This window comes from Homo sapiens, chromosome 7 (genome assembly GCF_000001405.40).
Source record: "Homo sapiens chromosome 7, GRCh38.p14 Primary Assembly".
Classification (NCBI taxonomy): Eukaryota; Metazoa; Chordata; class Mammalia; order Primates; family Hominidae; genus Homo; species Homo sapiens.
In genome coordinates this window covers 91,978,632-92,005,101 of record NC_000007.14, presented here as the reverse complement: position 1 = coordinate 92,005,101, position 26,470 = coordinate 91,978,632, and the positions used below count along the sequence as shown (strand labels likewise).

The window sequence follows — 26,470 nt, the reverse complement described above, 5'->3', positions numbered from 1 at the left end:
ACAGAACCAAAGACAAAAACCACATGATTATCTCAATAGATGCAGAAAAGGCCTTGGACAAAATTCAACAGCACTTCATGCTAAAAACTCTCAATAAATTAGGTACTGATGGGGCATATCTCAAAATAGTAAGAGCTATTTATGACAAACCCACAGCCAATATCATACTGAATGGACAAAAACCGGAAGCATTCCCTTTGAAAACTGGCACAAGACAGGGATGCCCTCTCTCACCACTCCTATTCAACATAGTGTTGGAAGTTCTGGCCAGGGAAATCAGGCAGGAGAAAGAAATAAAGGGTATTCAATTAGGAAAAGAGGAAGTCAAATTGTCCCTGTTTGCAGATGACGTGATTGTATATCTAGAAAACCCCATCGTCTCAGCCCAAAATCTCCTTAAGCTGATAAGCAACTTCAGCAAAGTCTCAGGATACAAAATCAATGTGCAAAAATCACAAGCATTCTTATACACCAACAACAGACGAACAGAGAGCCAAATCATGAGTGAACTCCCATTCACAATTGCTTCAATGAGAATAAAATACCTAGGAATCCAACTTACAAGGGATATGAAGGGCCTCTTCAAGGAGAACTACAAACGACTGCTCAACGAAATAAAAGAGGATACAAACAAATGGAAGAACATTCCATGCTCATGGATAGGAAGAATCAATATTGTGAAAATGGCCATACTGCCCAAGGTAATTTATAGATTCAATGCCATTCCCATCAGGAATGACTTTCTTCACAGAAATGACTTTCTTCACAGAATTGGAAAAAACTACTTTAAAGTTCATAAGGAACCAAAAAAGAGCCCACATTGCCAAGTCAATCCTAAGCCAAGAGAACAAAGCTGGAGGCATCACGCTACCTGACTTCAAACTATACTACAAGGCTACAGTAACCAAAACAGCATGGTACTGGTACCAAAACAGAGATATAGACCAATGGAACAGAACAGAGCCCTCAGAAATAATTCCATCATTCCCTATCACATTATCCTGTTTTATTTCTTCAGAGAATTTATCACTATTTCTCACTATCCTACTTGTTTCATTTATCATCTGCCTCCCTCACTAAAATATATGCTCTTTGAGACCAGAAACCTCTCTCTTGTTGGCCACTATATTCGTACTTGCCAAGAGAGTCAATAAATATGTTAGAAAAATGAAGAAACACATAAAACTTTAGTTAGCACCATTACATTGTAGATAGCAGAATTTTCCTGTTATTTTAATATCAGTATCTGGCAAATATAAATTATCAGGAGTGATCTATTATTATATACATATAATTCTTTAACTATATTTAGAGTTAATACTGTTTTTTCCCCTTCAGGTATAATAAAGACTCTGAAAAAACTCTAGGACTTAAATCAAAGGTTTTTTTTTCTCCCAGGAAAATATAATTTCATAACCACCTAACAACTATAGAGACTATTAAAAAGCTTAGGAGTTCATTTTCAGTTGTAGAGACTTGAAAACATCACTATGAAATAAAAACGCTGAAACCAATCTTTGAGATTATAACAAAAATTACAAAATGAAATTAATAACTTTTCTAATGCTGAGATTCTCCATAAAGTTATACAAACTCTTGTCTTTCCAAAGAAAATCTGAATCCATTAGTGTTTTATTTCCTGAGCAGAATATACAAGATAGATTAACTGAAAGAAAGGCAACAATGGTTTAAAAAAAAAAGTACTTAAATGATAAATAAATGATAGGCTCAAGTTAAAATTACATCAGAGGGTTCATTTTCATTCTCTTGTAAGGATATGAACTTATGTTCTATGAAGGTGAAACCTTAGTGTGAAATGTACATTTTTTTCATTGTGCTTTACCATATATGAAGAAGTAAACATACCTGTTCTGATTTAAGTACATTGAGTTCTTTCTGAAGTTTATCATTTTCACTTGGTTGAGTTGCTCTAAGTGATGATTCCTTTGTTACAGATGGTAAGTGATCCAAAATCAACTGTTCTTGCTTACTTTCTTCTCCAACAGTCATATTTTCAAAAGAAACTTTATCTTCCACCATTATTTTTGATTCTTCACCAAAACTTTTATTTACTTTAGAAACTGATCCTTCAGCACCCCTGCTTGTCATGGTCACAACTCCATCTAATAAAGAGCTTACTTGAGTATCACATGACTGTACATTTTCTGCCCTGTTGTGGTTAATAATGATTTCTAGCTCTCTACATCTCAATGAAACTTGTTCTTTCTCTTGCTTTAAAGATTTAACTTCTTCATTTAGAAAACTAATCTCACCATGTTTCTGTTTCAATTGTTCAGAAAGATCAGACAGTCTCTGTGACAGCTCTAATTTCTCTCGCTTGGTTACCTCAAGTTTTTCCATGAGTTCTGTTGTATCCTTTTCAACAACCTCACCCATTTCCAATGTTTCTGCTACAAAAGTTTTGTCTTCATCAAAGACAGAACTTTTCATTTTCACTGTAGTTGGATTTATTCTTTGCAAATGAAGCTCTTCATTAAGTGCTTTAAGTTTACTTTTATACTCTAATTCCTGTTTATTTTTACTGTCTTCTAAATCATCTTTTACTTTGAGAAGGCAAGCATACTCCTCTTGTAACTCTTGATAGTTAACTTCAAAGTTTTTTTCAGCAAATGAAAAAGTGTTCCTTTGCTTTTCAATCTCTTCATTTAGCTGAATACATTGTTGTTTGAGGTCCTCATTTTCCTCTATAAGTATTTCTATTTCTTTTTCCCACACAGAGTCTTTGGATTTGGACTTAATGGAGTCTAAGAAAATCAATCTTTCTTCTTGGCTAACAGGAGTATGTATTTTCAACATGTCTTCAAGGGTTTTCTTTTCATCTTTAAGAATGCTATTCTCTGCTTCAAGTTGTGCAAATTTTTCTTGAAGATCATTCTCTTTTTCCTTCATCTGTTTTTCTAACAATTCTGTTTTAAGTTGTAATTCTTGAACTTCTTGTTCAAGTGTACCCTTTTCTTTTTCTTCTTGTCTGAGTATTTCAATTTCTTTTTGAAGTTCATTGATTTGAAGAGTCATTTCTTCTGACTTTGAATTTACAAGAGACTGCTGTAAATCTTTTAGCTTTGAAATTTCCAAAATTAATTGATTCTGCTTAGTTATCAAATTGTCCTTTTCAAACTGCATGGTTTCTATCTTTTGACTCATTTCATTCTGTAAACCATCTATCTGCTGTTTATAGTGAATGCCTAAATTATCTTTAAGTTTTTCAATATTTATTCGATGTTCAATTTCTAAATCTTCCTTCAGTTTGGAAAGCTCTTCTTCGTGACTAAATAGAAGCTGTGTTCTCAGCCTCTCTAATTCAGCTTCTTGTGATTCAGCCATTCTGTCTAACACAGCATTCTTTTCTTTTTCTAACATTTCAAGTTTTATCTTGTAATTTGTAACTTCTGCTTCATGTTTTAATTCTAGTTCCTTTCTGGATTCAGATGCAGAAACAATCTCAGCTTTCAAATCTTCCACTGTACTAAGGGACTTATGTGCTTCATTAAGTTTACTTTCTTGTTCAGCTATTGTCTGTCTAGCTCTCTGAATCTGTTCCCTTGAAAAGCTCAATTCTTCAACAAGGTCTTCAAGCTGTCTCTGTAGAGCACACTTTTCTTCTAAAATTAGTCCTAGTTCTTCCTTGAGTTTTTCCTTTTGAGAGTTAGTATCTTGCAATTTTATATTCAGTTCATTTATTGCCACATTCATTAACTTTATCTGATCTTCATTAACTGTAATATTTGAATATGACCTTAAAGCATTCTCCATTTCTCCCTTATGCCGTGTTTTCATTTCCTCCATCTGTGCCATGTGTTGTCTTATTAATTCTTGTTTCATTTGCACTATCTGCTGCCCATACATCTCATCCAGCTCTGCCCGGAGTTGTTCTAACTTTCTTTGTGTTTCTTGTTCCATTCGTTGTACTATATCAGTTTCGAACTGGCTGTCTTTATGATTTCTCTTCTGAAGTTCTTCGACTGTCCCCATTAACTGTTTTATTTCTTCAGAAGACTGTCTTTCTTTTTGCTTAGAATTAGTCAGCTCTAATTTCATGTTTTTTATTTCTTGGTTCTTTTGCACAATCTGTTCTTGTAATTCTCCTAGTAATTTATCAGCAGTTGTTAATTTATCCTTTAGCTCAAGAGTTTTCTTTTCTTCTTCTATTATTTTTGTGTTTAATTCTTCAATGATTGTCTCCTTTTCCTGTATTTCTTCTTTATTTGAGTTTTCTACTTTTTTATCTTGTTCCTTTAGGAAAAAAAATGAAAATGTAAGAATGGCATTTTTAGCTTCTGGCAAATTATACTGCTTCATCTCATTACCAAAAGACTGACAGAAGTTTCTCTTTTAAAAAATTCTACAAAAAGTAAATGTTGGTCCTGCCCCTCAATTTTTTCCACAATAATGACACTTAGAACTCGTGTAACCAACACTACTTGTGAGCAAACACTACAGTAGTTTTGGCCTTCTTAGAAGAAATTTCTCTTAACATTTCTGTGATTAAAATTTTTAGTTTAAAAACCCAGTCTGATTTTAGATGTCTCCAAACTGTTACATTTTCATTTTTCTTATTAACTGATCAACATTCTAAATATTTAGTATTCTCTATAGCTAAAGTACTGCATATACTCTAGACACATTCAGAAAGATAAAAATAAATAAAAGTTCCTCACATGTATTCTGGTGACTTCAATGTGTGTCATGGGCAAGGGCTATGGAAAAAGAAAAACAACAAAAACAGACTCCTAACGGTCTGTCTTAACTTCAGTCCTGGGCTCTTAAGTCAGTCAGAAATTTAGAGATATGCAATGCTTAAAAGGCTGAACCTCAAGTGACATCTAAGACAACTATACCATTTATGGCATAACAACTTGGTCCTAGGACTTTTGGTTTAAACAGAATTTTCAAAGCAAAGCAGATACTCTCCCCCAGTTCTTATTTGGGATTCTATTTTGGAATGGAGATAGGGCTACGCCCAGACACAGGCCAAGGCATATCTGTTATGGTGATTACTTCAGCATGACAAAGTCAAGCAGAGGCCCTAGGTCAAAGTTTTGCTTCAGTAACTTACTTGCCTCTGTAAGTAATAGAGGGCTATAGTCTCAAAAACAAATAAATACATGAAATCTACAGAATGGATCAGGACATAAGTAGGTAAGTAAAATCATTTTAAAGAGACAGGAGTCCCAGGCAAACAGGACTTAAAGGTGCCTTGAATGAATGAATGAATGAATGAATGAACATAACTAAAGAAGAAATGTCAAGGCTGAGAAAAAGAAAAGCCTCAGAGGGAAATGTTGGCAGTGCCCATTCAAGTACAGCCTTTGAGAATTTTGGTTGCTCTAGAAAAAACATTACCAAATGTAGAAAGAAATGTCAGGGGTTGCAGCAAACAGCATTTAAGAATTCCCATCTATAGGCATGACCATTCCTACTGTGAGATAGATAGATCAGGTTATCTCAGCCTAATGCCCCTGAACATCTGATTCCTCTAAAACCTTTTAATCTCATGGTCACTAAATAACTTTCTAATTATTATGTGGCTTTTAAAATTCATTTGCCCATGGAAATAATATAAAATCCAATGAACTTGAAATATTTAGGTCTCTGTGATAATGATTTCTCATTGTAAATTAATAATCTTATTCAAGCTTTAAACATTAGCCTCATGGTGAAACCCTGTCTCTACTAAAAATAAAAAAACTAGCTGGGCGTGGGGCTGGGCGCCCGTGATCCCAGCTACTCAGGAGGCTGAGGCAGGAGAATCACATGAACCCAGAGGGCAGAGGTTGCAGTGAGCTGAGATCTCACCATTGCACTCCAGCCTGGGAGACAGAGCGAGACTCTGTCTCAAAACAAACAAAAAAAATTAGCCTCGTTAACTTTGAAAAATCTGAGTTCACTTCTGAGGTAGCTCGTCTCAGTTGACAGGGGAAAAAAAAATCAGACTTCTGAACCTACAAGTCGAAGGCCAGATTCTGTACTATATAAATTAACCAAGGCAATGAATGTTATCCTATGCAGCCTCTTGGGCAAAATTCTATCAGCTTGTGCCTTGGTATCACATATCCCACCCAATATTACCATGTTATTACCAAGTCCTGAGCCTTCTTACTTCAAACTCTGCACTACAATAGGATATTAATAAATCAGTTTAATCTCCTTTAATCCCAGTGTTTTCATCCATACAATATAAATATTATTATTTCCTCTATCTCACAGAATATGCTAAAATAAAACATCACCTATTAAAGCATTTTATTCTTACTGTACTATTAATATATACGAGTGTAATATATTTACATACTAGAAAGAAATCTGTAACACATTTGGAATCTATGAGAAAGTAAAATCAGTTCATGGTGGTCAATTCCAGTTAAACTGTTAAATAAGTAACTAAGTTTGAAAAATGTTAATGTTACAAAATTTAACTTTTCTGTTTCCTGATTTATATAGGGGAGTGGGGCCTTCATAAAACAGTATCATTTAATCATTTAATTCAAAATTGTCCAACACCTGATATAATAACAACCAACAATAATTCTTCTTTCAACCGTTAAACAACACAAATTTATGGTTTATTTTTCTTAGTATCACTTATTTCAAAGTACATGGTTTTAAACCACTTACTCTGAATTCTAAAAAAAAAAAAAAAAAAAAAAAAAAAAAAAAAAAAAGAGCCCTGTGGTTGAATACACTATCTTTTGGAAATACACCTGAGATGGGGGGAAATACTATGCTACGGCACCAATGGGAAGTTTGGAGGATTAGGACAATGAGAATGAGCTTTTGATCATCAACACAGTTGTGTAGGGAAGGGGTCCCCAACCTCCAGGTTGCAGACCCGGTACCGGTTGGGGCCTGTTAGAGATGGGGCCACACAGCAGGAGGTAAGCAAGCATTACCAGCGAGATCTCTGTGAGATCTGCTGCGGCACTAGATTCTTCTAGGAGCTCGAACCTTATTGTGAACTGTGCATGTGAAGGATCTAGGCTGCAAGCTCCTTATGTGAATCTAACTAATGCCTGATGTCATCCCAAAACCATTCCTCCCTCATGTCTGTGGAAAAAGTGTCTTCCACGAAACTGGCCCTGGTGCCAAAAAGGTTGGGGACCACTGGTCTAGGGAACCAAGACCATTTCATTTGTGACCCCAATGCCTTAGCTGACCCTAATATCTCAGCTGCCGATAGAATTATTACTTGGGGGGATTCATTTTCTTAAGAATAAAAATTTAAAAAAATGTATATAGTGAAAAACAGATTGATAAAAGTATTCTTGTTATATTCAAATAACAAAGGTTATTCCCCCTACAAAATGAATTACTTGAATTTTAAATAATCTCAATTTACACTGCCCACAGAGTAAATATAATACAATCCAATCTCCAGGCTCTTCTCACCTAGTCCTAGATTATCCTCCCACTCTTACCTCCTGGAAAGATTAACTTTCAAAGATTACTGTTTCTAGACAAGTTACACCATTTTTTGCTCCTTACTGATTTTTAACATGTTTCATCCTGAGTCTTTATGCCTACTCCACACTCTATCTAAAAAGTCCTCCCCATTTCTATCAGTTGAGATCCTTAATTTACCCACTTGTTTACAAAGTGAGTATTGAGTAGCTACTATGTTCCAGGCATTAGGCCAATTGTTGGGGAAACAAAATACAATTAAAAAGTTGTCCCAATTTATAAACTTACCTCAAATGGAAACTCTTCCACTAAAGCTTACCCTGAATCTCTTCTCTTATGAAGCCAGACCTATTCAGAACTTTCAAAGCACTTTTTGCCCACACTTATCCCTGTTTTGTGGTGTCCTTTGTACATGCCACAGCTCTCCTACTCATCTGAGTTCCAGTGAAGAAAAGGGCACATTTTAAGCCTCACTGTATTTCTTGCAAGGGCCTGCTACAAAAATAGGTGTTCTGTAAATATTTACCTAATAATTTTTAAATTACCTTAGTGGTAAAGCATGTATTTTTCATAATTTCATTGTCTTCAATTTGTACATTCCCTATTATTTAAAAGCAGTCTCTGGAGTCAGACAACTTAGATTTGAAATCTGGCTCTATCAACTTACTACCTGTGTATACCTGAGCAATTTACCTCATCTTGCTTTGTGTTGGTGTCCTCACTTAGAAAATAGGAGTGATAATTGTACTTCTATTGCACAGGCCTATGGTGATGATTCAATGAGTTAATATAAGATGCTTTGAATACTGCCTGTTACACAGTAAGCACTTAATAAATGCTAATTACTACTACTATTATTATTATCATCCAAGCAATATTCTTGTCTTGGTAATTTCTCAACCTCTTGCAGAAGAACCTCCTAAGTTTATAAAAAGTATTATATTGCATGTACAATCCATCCTCATTCTTTGTAGATTCCATATTTGTGAGTTCTTGCTAAAATTTATTTGTAACCCCCAAATCAATGCTCATGGTGCTTTTAGTCATTTGTAGGTGTGCACAGAGCGACAAAAAATTTGAGTTGCTGGACATACACTTCTAGCTGAGGTCAAACAAGGTGACCACACTGCCTTGTTCATCCCTTATAGAGAGGACCAGAGGGATGGAGAGGACCCGAGGTAGTGCAGTGTAGTACAGGAAGCTCCAGCTCTGGGGCAACTGACAGGATCTGAATCCCAGTCTGACACCTGTTAGTGGGGTGGCCTCAGGCAAGTCACTTCTGAACCTTGATTTCCCTTTTAAAAAATAAAGAAAAAGAATCTTCCAGGATGAGTAGTTTTATGATTTAAGATTATAATCAATGTGATACACATATATGTAAAATATACGCACCCATACACGGACACATATTCCTCCCAACAATCCCCCACCAGAGAACTTATTTGCTAAATAAGTGTTCCCAGAAACACTTAAGTTTATGGAACATAACTTATGTAAATAAAGATAACTGACTACATTCAATTTTTTTCTCATTAAAATCCATAAAATTTCTCTCTGTTGTGAAAATATTTTCTGAATTTCACAACCATGGCTAAAATAAGTGGAAATAATTATAAATGACAAAAAAAACTATAGCTATAAATTTGTATTTTCCTGCTAATTCAGTTTAACATAGGCTGATCACTTTTAGGGAACTCAGTAATGACTATTATCTTAAAAACTACATTACTGAGATTCCCATTTGCTTTTGAAATAAATTACACAAAGAGCTTAATTATGAAATTTTGTGATTCATGTGCCTAACAAAAAAAAACCACTTGCATAAAAAACTTGAAACTCTAAAGCTTCTACAAGTTAGCTGACTTCCTTAAAATAAACATACCATTTCATATACTTTAATTTTCTCTTGCAAGAAACTAATTTGCATTGTGAAGTCTTCTTTCTTTTTCTGATAATCTTCTAATAAGTGGTCTTGTTCTTCAAGCTGCTGTTGATGAGTGAGGATCTGTTGTTTGGCTTGTAGTAAGTCTGCAGCTGTGCTACTATGAGTGCTGTTTCTCAGAGTTTCACTAGCCTGTAACTGAAAATAGAAAGAAACCTCAAAACGTTAAATTCTGAAGTGACTGTATTAGGGAACAGACACCTTTGGGGTGTCCCTGCAATAGCTCTCTGGGAACTCTGCAGGCTTGAGACCCTAGCAAACATGCTACCTTGGCTGACTAGATAGGTATACCCAAGCCGAGCCAATAAACTTATCTTTTCCATGATACAGCAGAGAACCTAGGTCTCCTGAGACTGAGGCAGATATACGAAGAAAAGTGGGGCATCAAAGACAGTACTTCCCGAATTCCCTATGGCTTTCCAGTTTGTAGTTCCAATCCCTTTCAGAGGCCTGGTTGTATTTCTGCCCTTGGGTTCTGGAAACAGCCTGAATCCTTACACTAAGTACCTCCCTTTTGCTTAAACTATTTCAAATTGTTTTGCTACTTGCCATCAGAAATTCTGATTAATGCAGTTAGATTCCTGTGGCTCTAATTAAAGGAAAATGGAATATATTTAGTTTTGTTATCATTTAGAACCTAACTAAAATAAACCATACCAGAATTGGCAAAGGTAGGATGTGACTACAGGTTAATTTCTGCAGAAATACCCTCAATCAACCTTACACAATTTGTAAGATTTCAAAATAGAGACAGGGAGGAAATGAAAAGAAAATATTAGTAGAGAACCATTTAAGAAGTATGAATTAAATTCCTGGTTAATATAGCAACACATATTCACTAATTTTTCATACATGATATAATACGAAATGGCTTTTTTAACAAATTTAGATTTGTTCTTGAAAGTGAATTTTTAAAATTCATTACTAAAAAAATAATGAATTTTGTTGCATTAGTAATACTTACTTGCTGAAATTGAATCTGTAATTTTTGACTCTGTTCTGTCAACTCTAAAAATTCTCTCATTGTCTCATCCTTTTCTCTTCTTGCTTGTTGTAAATTAGCAGTGAGCTGGGTTATAATGCCATCTCTTTGTTTAATGGCAGCTTCAAATTCTTGTAACTGAAAGAAAATAGTAAGTGCTAGATTTATTTTTTTTAATTGACTATTATTACAGGTAACTTTTTCAAAATAAGAATTCAAAACACATTGGCATAATTCTTACACTTTGTAATCAGTATTTTCCACATTTGAAAACTATTAACTTACAGAAATTGGTGCTTCCAAATCAACTTCAAAAAATTTATCTGAACTAAGGAAAAAATTGATCTGGCTTATCCATATATTTACTTATAGAAGGACAAGTGCCTTTATATTTAGGGGTGCCCCTAATCTGTTCCCAGGCAACACCACCCTAGACATGTTTAATTCCAACTTGTTTCTGAAGAGGATGAAACTGATATGTATTTTTGTCATCCTCATCAATGTCCTACTTCATCTTGTTTTCATAACTGACTGCCATAGACAGTTATGGCAGTCTAACCACAGATGTTAGTCTAACCACAAGAGGTTACTTACAAGGACCCACTGACATCGTTTTTCTGTTCTTTTTTTGAGACAGGGTCTCGCTCTGTTGTACAGGCTAGAGTGCAGCGGTGTGATTTTGGCTCACTACAGCCTCAATCTCCTGGGCTGCAGTGATCTTCCTGTCTCAGCCTCCCAAGTAACTAGGACTACAGGCACACACCACTATGCCTGGCTAATTTTTAAATGTTTTGTAGAAGCGGGGTCTTGCTATTTTCACCCTGCCAGTCTCAAACTACCAGACTCAAGCTATCCTCTTGCCTCAGCCTCTTGAAGTGCTGGGATTACAGGCATAAGCCACCATGCCCAACTTGCTGACATTCTTAATGGACTTAAGTTATAATATTTTGATGTGGTTTGCACCATAATTTTCTCTCAGGCTGATTACAAAAACATCTGTCTTATTAAAGTGATTTCAGGCTAGCTATCATAAAGTTAAAAAAGAGTCTGTGTTATATTAACCCTGTTAATGAAATCCTACTTTTAAACAGGGTTGTTTATGCAATGTATAAAGACAAAAATTATGAGTGATATTATCATTTACTTTTCTGTTTGATTTTTTAAGAGACAGGGACTCCCAATGTTGCCCAGGCTGGACTTGAACTCGTGGGCTCAAGTGATCCTCCCACCTCAGCCTCCTGAATAACTAGAACTACAGGTGCATGCCACTGTGTCCCACTAAGTTACCATTTTAAAACCCCCTTCTTTAGGCCAGGCACAGTAGCTCACGCCTGTAATCCTAGCACTTTGGGAGGCCAAGGAGAGTCCAGGAATCTGAGGTGACACCCTGTCTCTACAAAAAATTAGCTGGGTGTGGTAGTGCATGCCTGTAGTCCCAGTTACTCACAAGGCTGAGGTGGGAGGATCGCTTGAGCCCAGGAAGCAGAGGATGCAGTGGGCCGAGATTGCACCACTACACTCCAGCCTGGGCAACAGAGCAAGACCCTGTATGGAAAAAAAAAAAGAAGAAGAAGAAGAAGAAAAGAAAAGAAAAAAGTTAAAAAAAAATTTTAAAAACCCCATCTTTAAAGACTACTATTATTCACATTTCCTGTTTTTGTTTTTGTGAGTAGCAAATCAAAAGCCACAGAAAATAAACATACCTGCTGCAGTCCTTCAGTCCCATAGGTAACCCTCATTTCTTCCAGCTCTCTGTTTAGCTCTTCAATCTCATGCTGCTTCCCAGCCAACTCACTTTCCATCATCTCTAGATGAGTCGGACTGTCTTGTGCTCCTTGTTCAGAATAAGAATCATCAACACCAAATTCTTCTTCCTAAATCAATCCAAGATTTTAAAGAATTCAGTATTAGCAATATTCCTTAGGGAGAGAGATTCAAATACTGAAATCCATAGCAAGGTCCACTTTAAAACATCACTCACCACCTGGAAGATTATGGTATGGCAACCTACTTCGTTAACATATTTACCTCAAGAACATAAACAGGTTATCCGCAAATTCTGTTACAATTGAGTTTTTTTTTTTTTTTTTTTTTTTTGACAGAGTCTTGCTCTGTCACCCAGGTTGGAGTGCAGTGGCGCAATCTCAGCTCACTGCAACCTCCGCCTCCCGGGTTCAAGCAATTCTCTTGTCTCAGCCTCCCAAGTAGCTGGGACTACAGGCGGCTGCCACCATGCCCGGCTAATTTTTGTACTTATAGTAGAGATGCGGTTTCACCTTGTTGGTCAGGCTGGTCTCGAACTCCTTATCTCAGGTGATCCACCTGCCTCGGCCTCCCAAAGTGCTGGGATTACAGACGTAAGCCACCACGCCTGGCCTACAATTGAGTTTTATAATAAATGGTAGATAACTTTGTTTTAGTAAACATTAAAATTAATTTGAAATCACACACAGAAAGAAGTACATGCAGGAAAAAGTTTTGTTAGTAAGCCAGATGATTTTAAATAGTATCCAACATTAGTATCACAAGTAGTTTTAAATACTGTACCCTTAATAAATTTGTAGGCTTTCCTGTTCTCATCACAAAACTGCAACCATTTACCTGTATAAAAACAATTTCCTGATATATTATGATCTTAGACATAATTTTATTTAGCTAACAATATTTCTGTTAACTGTATTCACGTGTATGTCTTTTATTCCTAGGGAAAATGCATCATTGGCGAAAACAGATACAGAGATTAATTTAAAATATCTAAGAGACATAATGACCATTTCAAATGCCAATCATTCCTCACAAATCTGAGTGCTTACAATGCAAAAGACACATATATACATTTTCACTTAAGTGAATTAAAGTTCTAAGTGCAGTTTCTGTTTGCTCTTCAGAAGTATAAACCTCAATAAAATCTCTTCTATGAAAGGCTTCCTTAAAATGGTTCAAATAATTATTTATTAAGCCCTATTCATTTTCAAGTAAAACAATTTAGGTCGGGTGTGGTGGCTCACGCCTGTAATCCCAGCACTTTGGGAGGCTGAGGCGGGCAGATCATGAGCTCAGGAGATCGAGACCATCCTGGCTAACACGGTGAAACCCCGTCTCTACTAAAAATACAAAAAATTAGCCGGGTGTGGTGGCGGGTGCCTGTAGTCCCAGCTACTTGGGAGGCTGAGGCAGGAGAATGGCGTGAACCCAGGAGGCGGAACTTGCAGTGAGCTGAGATCGAGCCACTGCACTACAGCCTGGGCGACAGAGCAAGACTCTGTCTCAAAAAAAAAAAAAAAAAGAGTTCTTCCCATTTGGCTGGTTTCCAGCTACAAGGGAGGCTGAGGCAGGAGGACTGCTTGAGCCCAGGAGTTTGAGGATATAGTGCACAACTGGCACACCTATTAATTGCCACCACACTCCACTGTGGGCAACATACTGAGAACCATGTCTCTAAAAAATTTTTTTAATTAAAAGATTAATATCAAGACATTTGCAATAACTTTCAAATTAAATACTTCTAAATTGCAATTAGCTTTTCTTGATCCTGAAATGAAGCATTCTGATGTGTCCTCTAAAATATTTTACTGTAGCCTATCAGTGTAACGAAATGGATGTTTATGAATACAGTAGTCTTCCTTAATCCACAGGGGATATGTTCCAAGACTCCCAGTAGATGCCTGAAATCATAAATAGTATTGAACCCTATATACACTATGGTTTTTTGATCTGATAAGGTAGACAGCTACTAAATGAACATGAGATGGACAGAGTATATGGTGTAGATCCACTGTATGTTCAAAGGGATGATCCACATCTTGGGTGGGATGAATGGGATGGAGCAAGATTTCACCATGCTACCAGAACAAGGCACAATTTAAAACTTATGAATTGTTTATTTCTGGAATTTTCCATTTAATATTTTCAGATAATGGTTGACTACAGAAAGTAAAAACAGGGATGGGGGACTACTGCTTCTTCAAATATGATACAAAGCAATGAATATTCCTTTAAGGAGTGATTATGTCAGTATTACATGAATCAGTTATCAGTTATCAGTTTGTAATAACTGTCAGTATTACATGAATCAGTTATCAGTTACCATTTTATAATAATTATGTTTATAGTTTCATCTAGTACTTTATTTAGCCACTGCTGTTTAATTTTTCTCTAATTCAGATAAGCAAATGTTATACTTGAACTCATATGTATTGAATTCTTAAAATACCATTAATACATGACTGTTTCAAAACATATTTATGTTATAATAAATGTAAAACTTATCAATATTAATAAATCTGAAAAGTTTAACATCATACAAATTGGCTATAAAAGATTATTCACCAGAACTAAACTAAAACACACTATATTCCAAAGTTAGAACAGGAACACTTAACAGAATATCAGGATCATTAATAGTTAACAATAAATTATTCTGTTTTTAAATTTAGATAATTATTTTATTGATAACTAAAGGGTAGAGTATTTATCTCCTCTTCTAACATTAGTCTTCTAACACTAAGTAAACCTTCATATGAAAGTAAATAAATGACTTGAAACATGAAGATTAGATTAACAGACTCCTTCAACTGAAAAAAGCTCAACTTCTCTCAATGTCCTTTTTTATTGTGGCATTTGTTGAAGTTATTTAACCTACAGACTATGTTAATGTATTCTTTCTGCATTCACAGAAAAATTTACTCTATCTGTACAGATAACTTAAAGATCTGGGAAAGTACAAGTGAGGTACATTTTAAATTTTAAAATGTTTTATAGAGGTATCACATCATAACAACATTGCTATTCAGAAAGAATCAGAGGAAAGGTAACTTTCACTATGTGACTATAAAATGGCCTTCACATAAAAACTCATCCTTGTGGTGAACATTAGGTTGATGAAATATAAAAGAACAACTCATCCTTATTTATGATTAATACCTTATTCTTGTACTTAATTTGGAAATATATAAATTAAAAACATTAATATTGAATATTTTCATAAAAAATAAAAATCTGATGGCTCATAAAAGTTCATGAAAATTATAAGAGTTCAATGTGCCTAAATGACTTATGGAGTTGCAGTCAAGTAATTAACGAGGTTAAAATAAATGTCATAAACCATATAAGCACTTGGTTAAAAAGTATTCAATAATCAGATGAAATCTATAATAAGAGTGAATACCCTATTACTATCATTTCATCTTTCTATACATGGCAAAGTATATTTATCTACTTGTCTTGACTCTATATTGCCTGTATTCCCAACTTCCTCCAAATAACCCTGCTCAAAGGGTATCAAAAACAATTCATGTAAATATGGTATTCTGGACATGAAACGTCCCTTCATTAATGATTGAAGATGACTGCATATAATTTAATTTGTAAGAAGAGTATTTTTCATTTAGTCCGATTTCTCTAGTGTACATAATAGGATACATATTTCTACAAAAGAGATCTTGGAATAATATTATTTGACTAATTCTAAGATGGAACCAATTTTCCAACCCAATGAGTGTACTAGTCACAGAAGTCAAGAACATTAAACCCACAATATACCTAAATAAATACAATTTACAAATTAAGTTCTAATCAAATATTATCAGAACCTGAAATCCTTCTGAGAACAATTTATTAAGGGAATCATCATCACTCATTTCATATAAATGTAGTGTAAAGAAAAGTGTATTTCTAGTGATGAGCAATTTAAAAAACCACACTTTGCTGAACGTCTAATGTATGCCAAACACATATTAAACATTCTCAAGCTTATTTTGTGAACTACTTTGTGAGGTATGCAAATATATCAGGTAGATATCATCGTCCCCCATTTTATAGTTTAAATAACTGTATTTCACCTAATGTAAATGACTAGTTGATGGATGCAACAAACCAACATGGCACATGTGTACCTATGTAACAAACCTGAATGTTGTGCACATGTACCCTAGAACTTAAAGTATAATAATAATAAAAAAACAAACTGTATTTCAGAGTTTAAGTGATGTGCCCAGGTTCATACAGTTCAAAGGTGATGAAGTATGTAAACAGGACTTTCTGGCTCCAAAGTCCCCCTGCTCTTTTCTTACATCTTATTGCCCTATTTACCAGAAAAATGATAGTCATATTTAGGTAAAATACAAGATAATTATGTGATCTATGATTAAAACTACTTGATTTCAAAATTTTAGAATACTCAAATACAATCTAGATCTGCCAAGATTATTAAACTTTGCAAATATGGCATTGCAGTGAAGTTATAATGTTACATACTGCCCAGAAATCTCTCTCTCTCTTTCTCTTTTTGAGACAAGGTCTCACTCTGTCACACAGGCTGGAGTGCAGTGGTGTGATCATTAGGTCATTGCAAACTCAAACTCCTGGGTGCATGGGATCCTCCTACTTCAGCCTCTTGAGCAGCTGGAAGTACAGGCACACACTATCACCTAGCTTTTTTTTTTTTTTTTTTTTTTTTTTTTGAGAGGGGGTCTTGCTCTGTCACCAAGGCTGGAGTGCCAGTGGTGTGATCATACTCCTGGGCTCAAGTTTTTGGAAAGATACTTATTCTTACAGTATGACATATCTTGTGATGATACTGTTTCTTGTTAATGTTGGTCAAAAAAACTAAATTGATGAGCTATCTTACCGTGTGGAATAAACAGTGACTTAGAAGATTACATTGAAAAATGTAACCTCAGCCTCCCAAGTAGCTGGGACTACATGTGCCCGCCACTATGCCTTGCTAATTTTATTTTATTATTTTAATTTGTAGAGATGATGTCTCCCTATGTAGCCAAGGCTGGTCTCGAACTCCTGAGCTCCAGTGATCTTCCCACCTTGGCCTCCCAAAGTGCAGAGATTACAGGTGTGAGCTACTATGCCCGGCCAATAAATCTCATTTTTTAGGTGTGTTATTGAGAGATAATTCCATAAAAGTTCCAATATAAAAACTATTACAGTATGAGTTTATTTCTCGGGTTATAAATTTGGTCCACTGATGATTTTTCTGCCTCCTGAATAGGTGGATATGGCTTAGAAGTCTCCTGTAATTCTAGTTGAGTCAAGCCAGTCTAATATCATTAAATGGAGGAATTCAAGCCTCAAAACTAGCCTAGAGCATCACAGATCCAACTAGTATCCATCTTAGCAATTTTGATGACACATATCAAACATTTCACCAAATATCAACTTTACTTCTACGTTTTCTCTAGACATAGTGAATCTATAAATTTCTCAAAGTATAATCCGTTGTGAATCCATACATAACACACAAAATATTACTAGGGTTATAATTCAAACCAGGTCAAATCTGTCAAAAATTATTTCATAATTATCTTTTTTCTTCTTTTTTTTTTTCGAGATAGAATTTCACCCTTGTTGCCCAGGCTGGAGTGCAATGGCACTATCTCGGCTCACTGTAACCTCCACCTCCCAGATTCAAACAATTTTCCTGCCTCAGCCTCCCAAGTAGCTGGGATTACAGGCATACGCCACCATGTTCAGGTAATTTTTGTTATTTTTAGTAGACATGGGGTTTCAGCATGTTGGTCAAACTGGTCTCCAACTCCTAACCTCAGGTGATCCGCCCACTTTGGCCTCCCAAAGTGTGGGATTACAGGCATGAATGAGCCACCGTGCCTGGCTCATAATTATCTTTTTTCAATGTAATCTTCTAAATCACTGTTTATTCCACACGGTAAGATAGCTCATCAATTTAGTTTTTTTGACCAACATTAACAAGAAACTGTATCATCACAAGATATGTCATACTGTAAGAATAAGTATCTTTCCAAAAACTTGTTTGGAAAAAAGTATGCATATGTATATATTTATTCATATATAATTATTCATGTATATAACTATAAATATATGTAACTATATATGTATATATATGAAATTACAAACGTATGTAAAATATATTTCTCACCATGAGCTATGGTCAACAAGTATGATAAATACTGTTCTAAGTTTTATCGGTAGTACTTACACTTAAATACTATTTGTACCTTACCTTAAAACATATATTTACTAGGCATCTCAGATAAATAGGTTCAATACATTTTTTGGAACCTGATAATCTCCACCAGTTTTTTAATTTAAAAAATTTAGCTGAAGACTGTCTTATTATAACAAGAATTTCCCATACTATTAATTAACATTTTCCTACAGAAAACCTGAAAATCACCATCTTTTGACCTCTTTAGCTTTTCAAATCAATATTTAAAATTAAAATTTGTGAGGATCCGTTCCAAGAAGGCCAAATAGGAACAGCTCCGGTCTGCAGCTCCCAGCGTGAGCGACACAGAAGACGGGTGATTTCTGCATTTCCAACTGAGGTACCTGGTTCATCTCACTGGGACTGGTCGGACAGTGGGTGCAGCCCATGGAGGGTGAGCCGAAGCAGGGCAGGGCATCGCCTCACCCAGGAAGAGTAAGGGGTTGGAGGATTTCCCTTTCCTAGCCAAGAGAAGCTGTGACAGACTGTACCTGGAAAAACGGGACACTCCCGCCCAATACTGCGCTTTTCCAATGGTCTCAGAAACTGGCAGACCAGGAGATTCTCTCCCGTGCCTGGCTCAGCAGGTCCCATTTCTTTCATCTAGAGGAAATGGATGAATTCCTGGACACATACACCCTCCCAAGACTAAACCAGGTAGAATCTCGGAATAGACCAATAACAGGCTCTGAAATTGAGGCAATAATTAATAGACCACCAACCAAAAAAAGTCCAGGACCAGACAGATTCAAAGCCAAATTCTACCAGAGGTACAAAGAGGAGCTGGTATCATTCCTCCTGAAACTATTCCAATAAATAGAAAAAGGGGGAATTGGCTGGGCGAGGTGGCTCATGCCTGTAATCCCAGTACTTTAGGAGGCCGAGGTGGGGAGATCAAGAGGTCAGGAGTTCGAGACCAGCTTGAACAGTATGGTGAAACCCCATCTCTAATAAAAATACGAAAAATTAGCCAGATATGGTGGCACGCGCCTGTAGTCCCAGGTACTCAGCAGGCTGAGGTAGGAGAATTGTGTGAACCCGGCAGGCGAGGGTTGCAGTGAGCTGAGATCATGCCACTGCACTCCAGCCTGGGCGAAAGAGTGAGACTCCGCCACAGAAAAAAGAAAGGGGGTGGGGGAATCCTCCCTAACTTAAATGAGGCCAGCATCATCCTGATACCAAAGCCTGGCAGAGACACAACAAAAAAGAATTTTAGACCAATATCCCTGATTAACATGAATGCAAAAATCCTCAATAAAATACTGGCAAACCAAATACAGCAGCACATCAAAAAGCTTATCCACCGTGATCAAGTCAGCTTCATCACTAGGCTGCAAGGCTGGTTCAAAACACACAAATCAATAAACATAATCCATCACATAAACAGAACCAAAGACAAAAACCACATGATTATCTCAATAGATGCAGAAAAGGCCTTTAACAAAATTCCACAGCCTTTCATGCTAAAAACTCTCAATAAACTAGGTATTGATGGGAGGTATCTCAAAATAATAAGAGCTATTTATGACAAACCCACAGCCAATATCATACTGAATGGGCAAAAACTGGAAGCATTCCCTTTGAAAACTGACACAAGACAAGGATGCCCTCTGTCACCACTCCTATTCAACATAGTCTTGGAAGTTCTGGCCAGGGCAATCAGACAAGAGAAAGAAATAAAGGGTATTCAATTAGGAAAAGAGGAAGTCAAATCGTCCCTGTTTGCAGATGACATGATTGTATATTTAGAAAACCCATTGTCTCAGCCCAAAATCTCCTTAAGCAAAGTCTCAGGATACAAAATCAATGTGCAAAAATCACAAGCATTCCTATACACCATTAACAGACAAACAGAGAGCCAAATTATGAGTGAATTCCCATTCACAATTCCTACAAAGAGAATAAAATACCTAGGAATCCAACTTACAAGGGATGTGAAGGACCTCTTCAAGGAGAACTACAAACCACTGCTCAACGAAATAAAAAAGGACACAAACAAATGGAAAAGCATTCCATGCTCATGGATAGGAATAATCAATATTGTGAAAATGGCCACACTGCCCAAGGTAATTTATAGATCGAATGCCATCCCCATCAAGCTATCAATGACTTTCTTCACAGAACTGGAAAAAAACGACTTTAAAGTTCATATGGAACCAAAAAAGAGCCCACATTGCCAAGACAATCCTAAGCAAAAGGAACAAAGCTGGGGGCATCACACTACCTGACTTCAAACTATACAACAAGGCTACAGTAACCAAAACAGCATGATACTGGTACCAAAACAGAGATATAGACCAATGGAACAGAACACAGGCCTCAGAAATAACACTACACATCTCCAACCATTTGATCTTTGACAAACCTGACAAAAACAAGAAATGGCGAAAGGATTCCCTATTTAATACATGGCGCTGGGAAAACTGGCTAGCCATATGCAGAAAACTGAAACTGGACTCCTTCCTTACACCTTATACAAAAATTAATTCAAGATGGATTGAAGACTTAAATGTTAGACATAAAACCATAAAAACCCTAGAAGAAAACCTAGGCAATAACCTTTAGGTCAGGCATGGGCAAGGACTTCATGACTAAAACACCAAAAGCAATAGCAACAAAAGCCAAAATAGACAAATGGGATGTAATTAAACTAAAGAGCTTCTGCACAGCAAAAGAAACTACCATCAGAGTGAAAAGGCAACCTACAGAATGGGAGAAAATTTTTGCAATCTACTTATCTGACAAAGGGCTAATATCCAGAATCTATAAAGAACTTAAACAAATTTACAAGAAAAAAACCCCAACAAAAAGTGAGCAAATGATATGAACAGACACTTCTCAAAAGAAGACATTCATGCAGCCAACAGACACATGAAAAAATGCTCATCATCACTGGTCATCAGAGAAATGCAAATGAAAACCACAATGAGATACTATCTCACAAAAGTTAGAATGGCGATCATTTAAAAGTCAGGAAACAACAGATGCTGGAGAGGATGTGGAGAAATAAGAACGGTTTTACACTGTTTGTGGGAGTGTAAACTAGTTCAACCATTGTGGAAGACAGTTGGTGAAACCCTATCTCTAACAAAAATACAAAAATACTTGCGCCACCATGTTCAGATAATTTTTGTTATTTTTAGTAGATATTTTAGAAGCAATTCCTCAAGGATCTAGAACTAGAAATACCATTTGACCCAGTGATCCCATTACTGGGTATATACCCAAAGGATTATAAATCATGCTACTATAAAGACACATGCACACCTATGTTTATTGCGGCACTATTCACAATAGCAAAAACTTGGAACCAACCCAAATGTCCATCAATGATAGACTGGATTAACAAAATGTGGCACATATACACCATGGAATACTATGCAGCCATAGAAAAGGATGAGTTCATGTCCTTTGCAGGGACATGGATGAAGCTGGAAACCATCATTCTGAGCAAACTATCACAAGGATAGAAAACCAAACACCACATGTTCTCACTCATAGGTGGGAACTGAACAGTGAGAACACTTGGACACAGGGCAGGGAACATCACACATGGGGGCCTGTCGTGGGGTGGCGGGCAGGAGGAGGGATAGCATTAGGAGGTATACCAAATGAAATGACGAGTTAATGGGTGCAGCAAACCAACATGGCACATGTATACCTACGTAGCAAACCTGCATGTTGTGCACATGTACCCTAGAACTTAAAGTATAATAATAATAATAAAAGAAAGAAAAAAAAAGCAAACAACCCCATCAAAAAACAGGCAAAGGATATGAACAGACACTTCTCAAAAGCAGACATTTATGAAGCCAACAGACACATGAAAAAATGATCAACACTGGTCATCAGAGAAATGCAAATCAAAACCACAATGAGATACCATCTCATACCAGTTAGAATGGCAATCATTAAAAAGTCAGGAGACAACAGATGCTGGAGAGGATGTGGAGAAATAGGAATGCTTTTACACTGTTGGGAGTGTAAATTAGTTCAACCATTGTGGAAGACAGTGTGACAATTCCTCAAGGATCTAGAACTAGAAATACCATCTGACCCAGCGATCCCATTACTGGGTATATACCCAAAGTATTATAAATCATGCTACTATAAAGACATATGCACACGTATGTTTATCGTGGCACTATTCACAACAGCAAAGACTTGGAACCAACCCAAATGTCCATCAATGATAGACTGGATAAAGAAAATGTGGCACATACATATCATGGAATACTATGCAGCCATAAAAAAGGATGAGTTCATGTCCTCTGCAGGGACATGGATGAAGCTGGAAACCATCATTCTGAGCAAACTATCACAATGACAGAAAACCAAACACTGCAAGTTCTCACTCATAGGTGGGAATTGAACATTGAGAACACTTGGACACAGGGCAGGGAACATCACACATGGGGGCCTGTCGAGGGGTGGGGCGCTGGGGGAGGGATAGCATTAGGAGATATACCTAATGTAAATGACGAGTTGATGGGTGCAGCAAACCAGCATGGAACATGTATACCTATGTAACAAACCTGCACATTGTGCACAGGTACCCTAGAACTTAAAGTATCATACATACATACATACATACATACATACATACATACATACGTACGTAAAATACTTAGAATGACAAAAAAATTAAATTAAAATTTGCTCTATTATCTCAATGTGAGAAAACAGCTATACAAATTGTAACCAAATTTCATGGGCATATATGGGAGGGTCTGACCTACAGCCACTAGCATATTAAAAAATATTCACTTTAGTGTAAAGAGAAAAATGCACTTCGTGGAACTCTGGGGTGCCCCCAGAGATACAGGCAGTTTAAGCACCAAAGCATTTATGACTTTCAGTCAAGAAATACAAGCTATAGCCAGGTGCGGTGGCTTACACCTGTAATCCCAGCACTTCGGGAGGCAGAGGTGGGTAGATCATGAGGTCAGGAGTTCAAGACCAGCCTGGCCAAGATGGTGAAACCCCGTCTCTACTAAAAATACAAAAATTAGCCGGGTGTGGTGGCACATGCCTGTAGTCCCAGCTTGGGAAGCTGAGGCAGAGAATTGCTTAGATCCAGGAGGCAGAGGTTTCAGTGAGCCAACACTGCACCACTGCACTCCAGTCTGGGCAACAGAGTGAGACTCCATCTTGGTGAAAAAAAAAAAAAAAAAAAAGAAATACAAGATATAAAAATTAGAGCATTATAAAGAAAAAAAAAGTTTTCAAATGCAATAATCCCTTGGTGTCTTCAAGTGAATTAGCTTTAGGAACTCCCCTAAGGATACTAAAATCACGGATGCCTAAGACCCTTAATGGCATAGTATTTGTATACAACCTGTGGACATCTGCCCATATACTTTAAATCATCTCTAAGATTACTATATACTTAGTTGTTATACTATATTTTTAAATGTTATATATTTTCTATTGTTGTACTGTTATTTTTTATTTTTTCAGAATATTTTCTATCTGTGGTTGGTCATACCCTCAAATGCAGAACCCAGGGATATGGAGGGCCAACTGTATGCGCCCCAAATTTAATGTCACAAAAGCAGACTCTGAATTTTAAGCAGTGATTTTAAATCAAGATACTTCCCATAGAGGCAACTTTAGCCTAAATCAGGCACCAATGTGTTTATTTAATGTTGGCTAATTATTTTCCTGGCCAGATTACTAGTAAGTATATTCCAACTTTTAAGCACATTAACTTCTAAAGTAGCAGTTTTTATTGCTATTAGCAATCTAAAACAGTAATACGTTCATTTAAGAACATGGAGTTTTTTTTTCCTATTAGAAACCTACAATAAATTGAGACTTACTGAATACACTGAGTTGCTAAACCATTCAGAGTACAGAATAGTTTATAGTCTCCTCAAATTCTGGAGTAAAGAAATGACAATCACATCTAAAAGAATAAGAAAAAGATAACAAAATGACATATACTTTTACCAACACACAAAGAGGGTATTTCCTAAAGTGGACAATACCTTTATCACCTAAAGTAAAAACTACTATTGAAACATTAATTTCAATAAACAAGTTCATATGATTAACTAGAATTCAAGCATTTATAAAAAAGCATTACTCAAAATGAAATATCCTATTCAAAGTCTCAAAAAATTTTTGATATTTTTACTGTGCTAAATATGGATGCCTTGTAACAGTCACATGTCTAAGAAACCCAATATCAAATACTTTCCAGAAACTAAAACAGAGACCAAGCTATTTAACCAGACTTAAGACCTTAGCTAATAATCTGAAAAAAAAAAAAAAAAAAAAAAAGTCAGTAATACATAATCCTCAGGTTCTAGTCACTTAACATTATATTTATAAAAATAAAATAGAAGCATGAGTGACAAGAAATCAAGTAGCAACAATCAATGATTTCAATAATAATATAAATATACATTTATGATATTAGAAATCAATATAATTTAGTCTTACCTCTGAACTGCAGTCATCTGCTGTGGTTGAAATTTCACTTTCCAGCTAAAACAAAAATAAAAACCAAATATAATTATGACTTTTTTGTGCTAAATATCATACTTTACTAAACCATTACTATTGGTAACATATGATAGAAAAGTCACATAAAATACCACTAAAAAACTAGTAAAAATTACTCAAATCTTTAAAATTTTCATTTAATTATAAATAACAATGGCAAAATAATGCAACCAAAATGTACCAGTAGGCATTTTTCTAAATATAAAAGTATCAAGAGGTACTTTCATACAGGGTCTTATATACATATCATTTGTAAGCCAAAAGCATGAAGTAAGACACCATTCCTCCAATCCTCATACAGTAGCCCCCTCTTTATCCACAGTATTGCTTCCTATAATTTCAGTTACCCATGGTTAACTGTGGTTAGAAAATATTAAAATGGAAAATTCCAAAAATAAACAATTCATAAGTTTTAAATTGTGCACTGTTCTAAGTGGCATGATGAAATCTTACTCTGTCCCATCCAGGACATGAATCGTCCCTTTGTACACCATATCCACACAGTATATGCTACCTGCCCAACAGTTACTTGGTAGCCACCTCCATTATCAGATGCACTATCATACATTATGGCAGTATGCAGTATTGCAGTGCTTGTGTTCAAGTAATGGCCCCAAAGCACAAGAGTACAGTGCCTAATTTATCAATTAAACTTTATCATAAGTATATGAGTATAGGAAAAAACACAGTATATACAGAGTTCAGTACTATCTGTGGTTTCAGGTCTCCACTGGGGGTGTTGGACTATACTCTTGATATGGTTTGGCTGAGTTCCCCCATCCAAATCTCATCTTGAATTGTAGCTCCCATAATTCCCATGTGTTTTGGGAGAGACCTGGTGGGAGATAAGTAAATCATGAGAGCAGTTTCCCCCATACGGTTCTTGTGGTAGTAAGTCTCACGAGATATGATGGTTTTATAAGGGGTTTCCCTTTTCCCTTGGCTCTCATTTTTCTCATGTCTGCTGCCATGTAAGATGTGCCTTCTGCCTTCCACCATGATTGTGAGGCCTCACCAGCCACGTGGAACTGTGAGTCCATTAAACCTCTTTTTCTTTATAAATGACCTAGTCTCCGGTATGTCTGTATCAGCAGCATGAAAATGGAATGATACAACTCTCCACAAATAAGGAGGAACTACCGTACCTCTTTAAAATGAAACAAAGTCCTAAAATGCTACTGTTAGAAAAGTTCGGCCAGGTGTGGTGGCTCATGCCTGTAATCCCAGCACTTTGGGAGGCTGAGGTGGGTGGATCATTTAAGGTCAGGAGTTCGAGACCTGCCTAGCCAAAATGGTGAACTCTCGTCTTTACTAAAAAAAAAAAAAAAAAAAAAAAAATACAAAAACTAGCCAGGCGGTAGTGGTGCATGCCTGTAATCCCAGCTACCTGAGAGGCTGAGGCAGGAGAACTGCTTGGGCCTGGAAGGGAGAGCTTGTGGTGAACCAAGATCATGCCATTGCACTCTGGTCTGGGTGACAGAGTGAGACCCTGTCTTTAAAAAATAATAATAATAATTAAAATAAATCAATAAAAAAGAAAAGTTCAATTTCTCTGAAAGAAAAATCATATCATCATGATGCTAAAAAAAGTAATAACTAAAGAAAAAATAACCACTTTTGTTATAACACCTTTACAGTT

At 36.2% G+C, this 26,470-nt stretch overlaps 1 protein-coding gene across 2 annotated transcripts in view, besides 1 other annotated feature; it reads right to left on the bottom strand.

Moving 5' to 3' along the window:
- The window catches only part of AKAP9 (A-kinase anchoring protein 9), a 169,812-nt gene that overhangs the window by 105,572 nt on the left and 37,770 nt on the right, over nucleotides 1–26,470 (bottom strand). For both annotated transcript variants that reach the window (NM_005751.5, NM_147185.3), the window contains exons 3-8: nucleotides 24,769–24,813; nucleotides 12,891–12,944; nucleotides 12,047–12,217; nucleotides 10,326–10,481; nucleotides 9,302–9,499; nucleotides 1,867–4,254 (exon numbers count right to left, since the gene is read on the bottom strand). In NM_005751.5, coding sequence (NP_005742.4) covers nucleotides 1,867–4,254; nucleotides 9,302–9,499; nucleotides 10,326–10,481; nucleotides 12,047–12,217; nucleotides 12,891–12,944; nucleotides 24,769–24,813 — 3,012 coding nt within the window. The remainder of the gene's footprint in view (nucleotides 1–1,866; nucleotides 4,255–9,301; nucleotides 9,500–10,325; nucleotides 10,482–12,046; nucleotides 12,218–12,890; nucleotides 12,945–24,768; nucleotides 24,814–26,470) is intronic.
- Nucleotides 9,420–9,599: a silencer, noted in NCBI's record as "silent region_18366". NCBI's record gives its function as "represses an Ori minimal core promoter by ATAC-STARR-seq in GM12878 lymphoblastoid cells {active_cell/tissue: GM12878}" and the evidence as "EXISTENCE:reporter gene assay evidence [ECO:0000049][PMID:35858748]".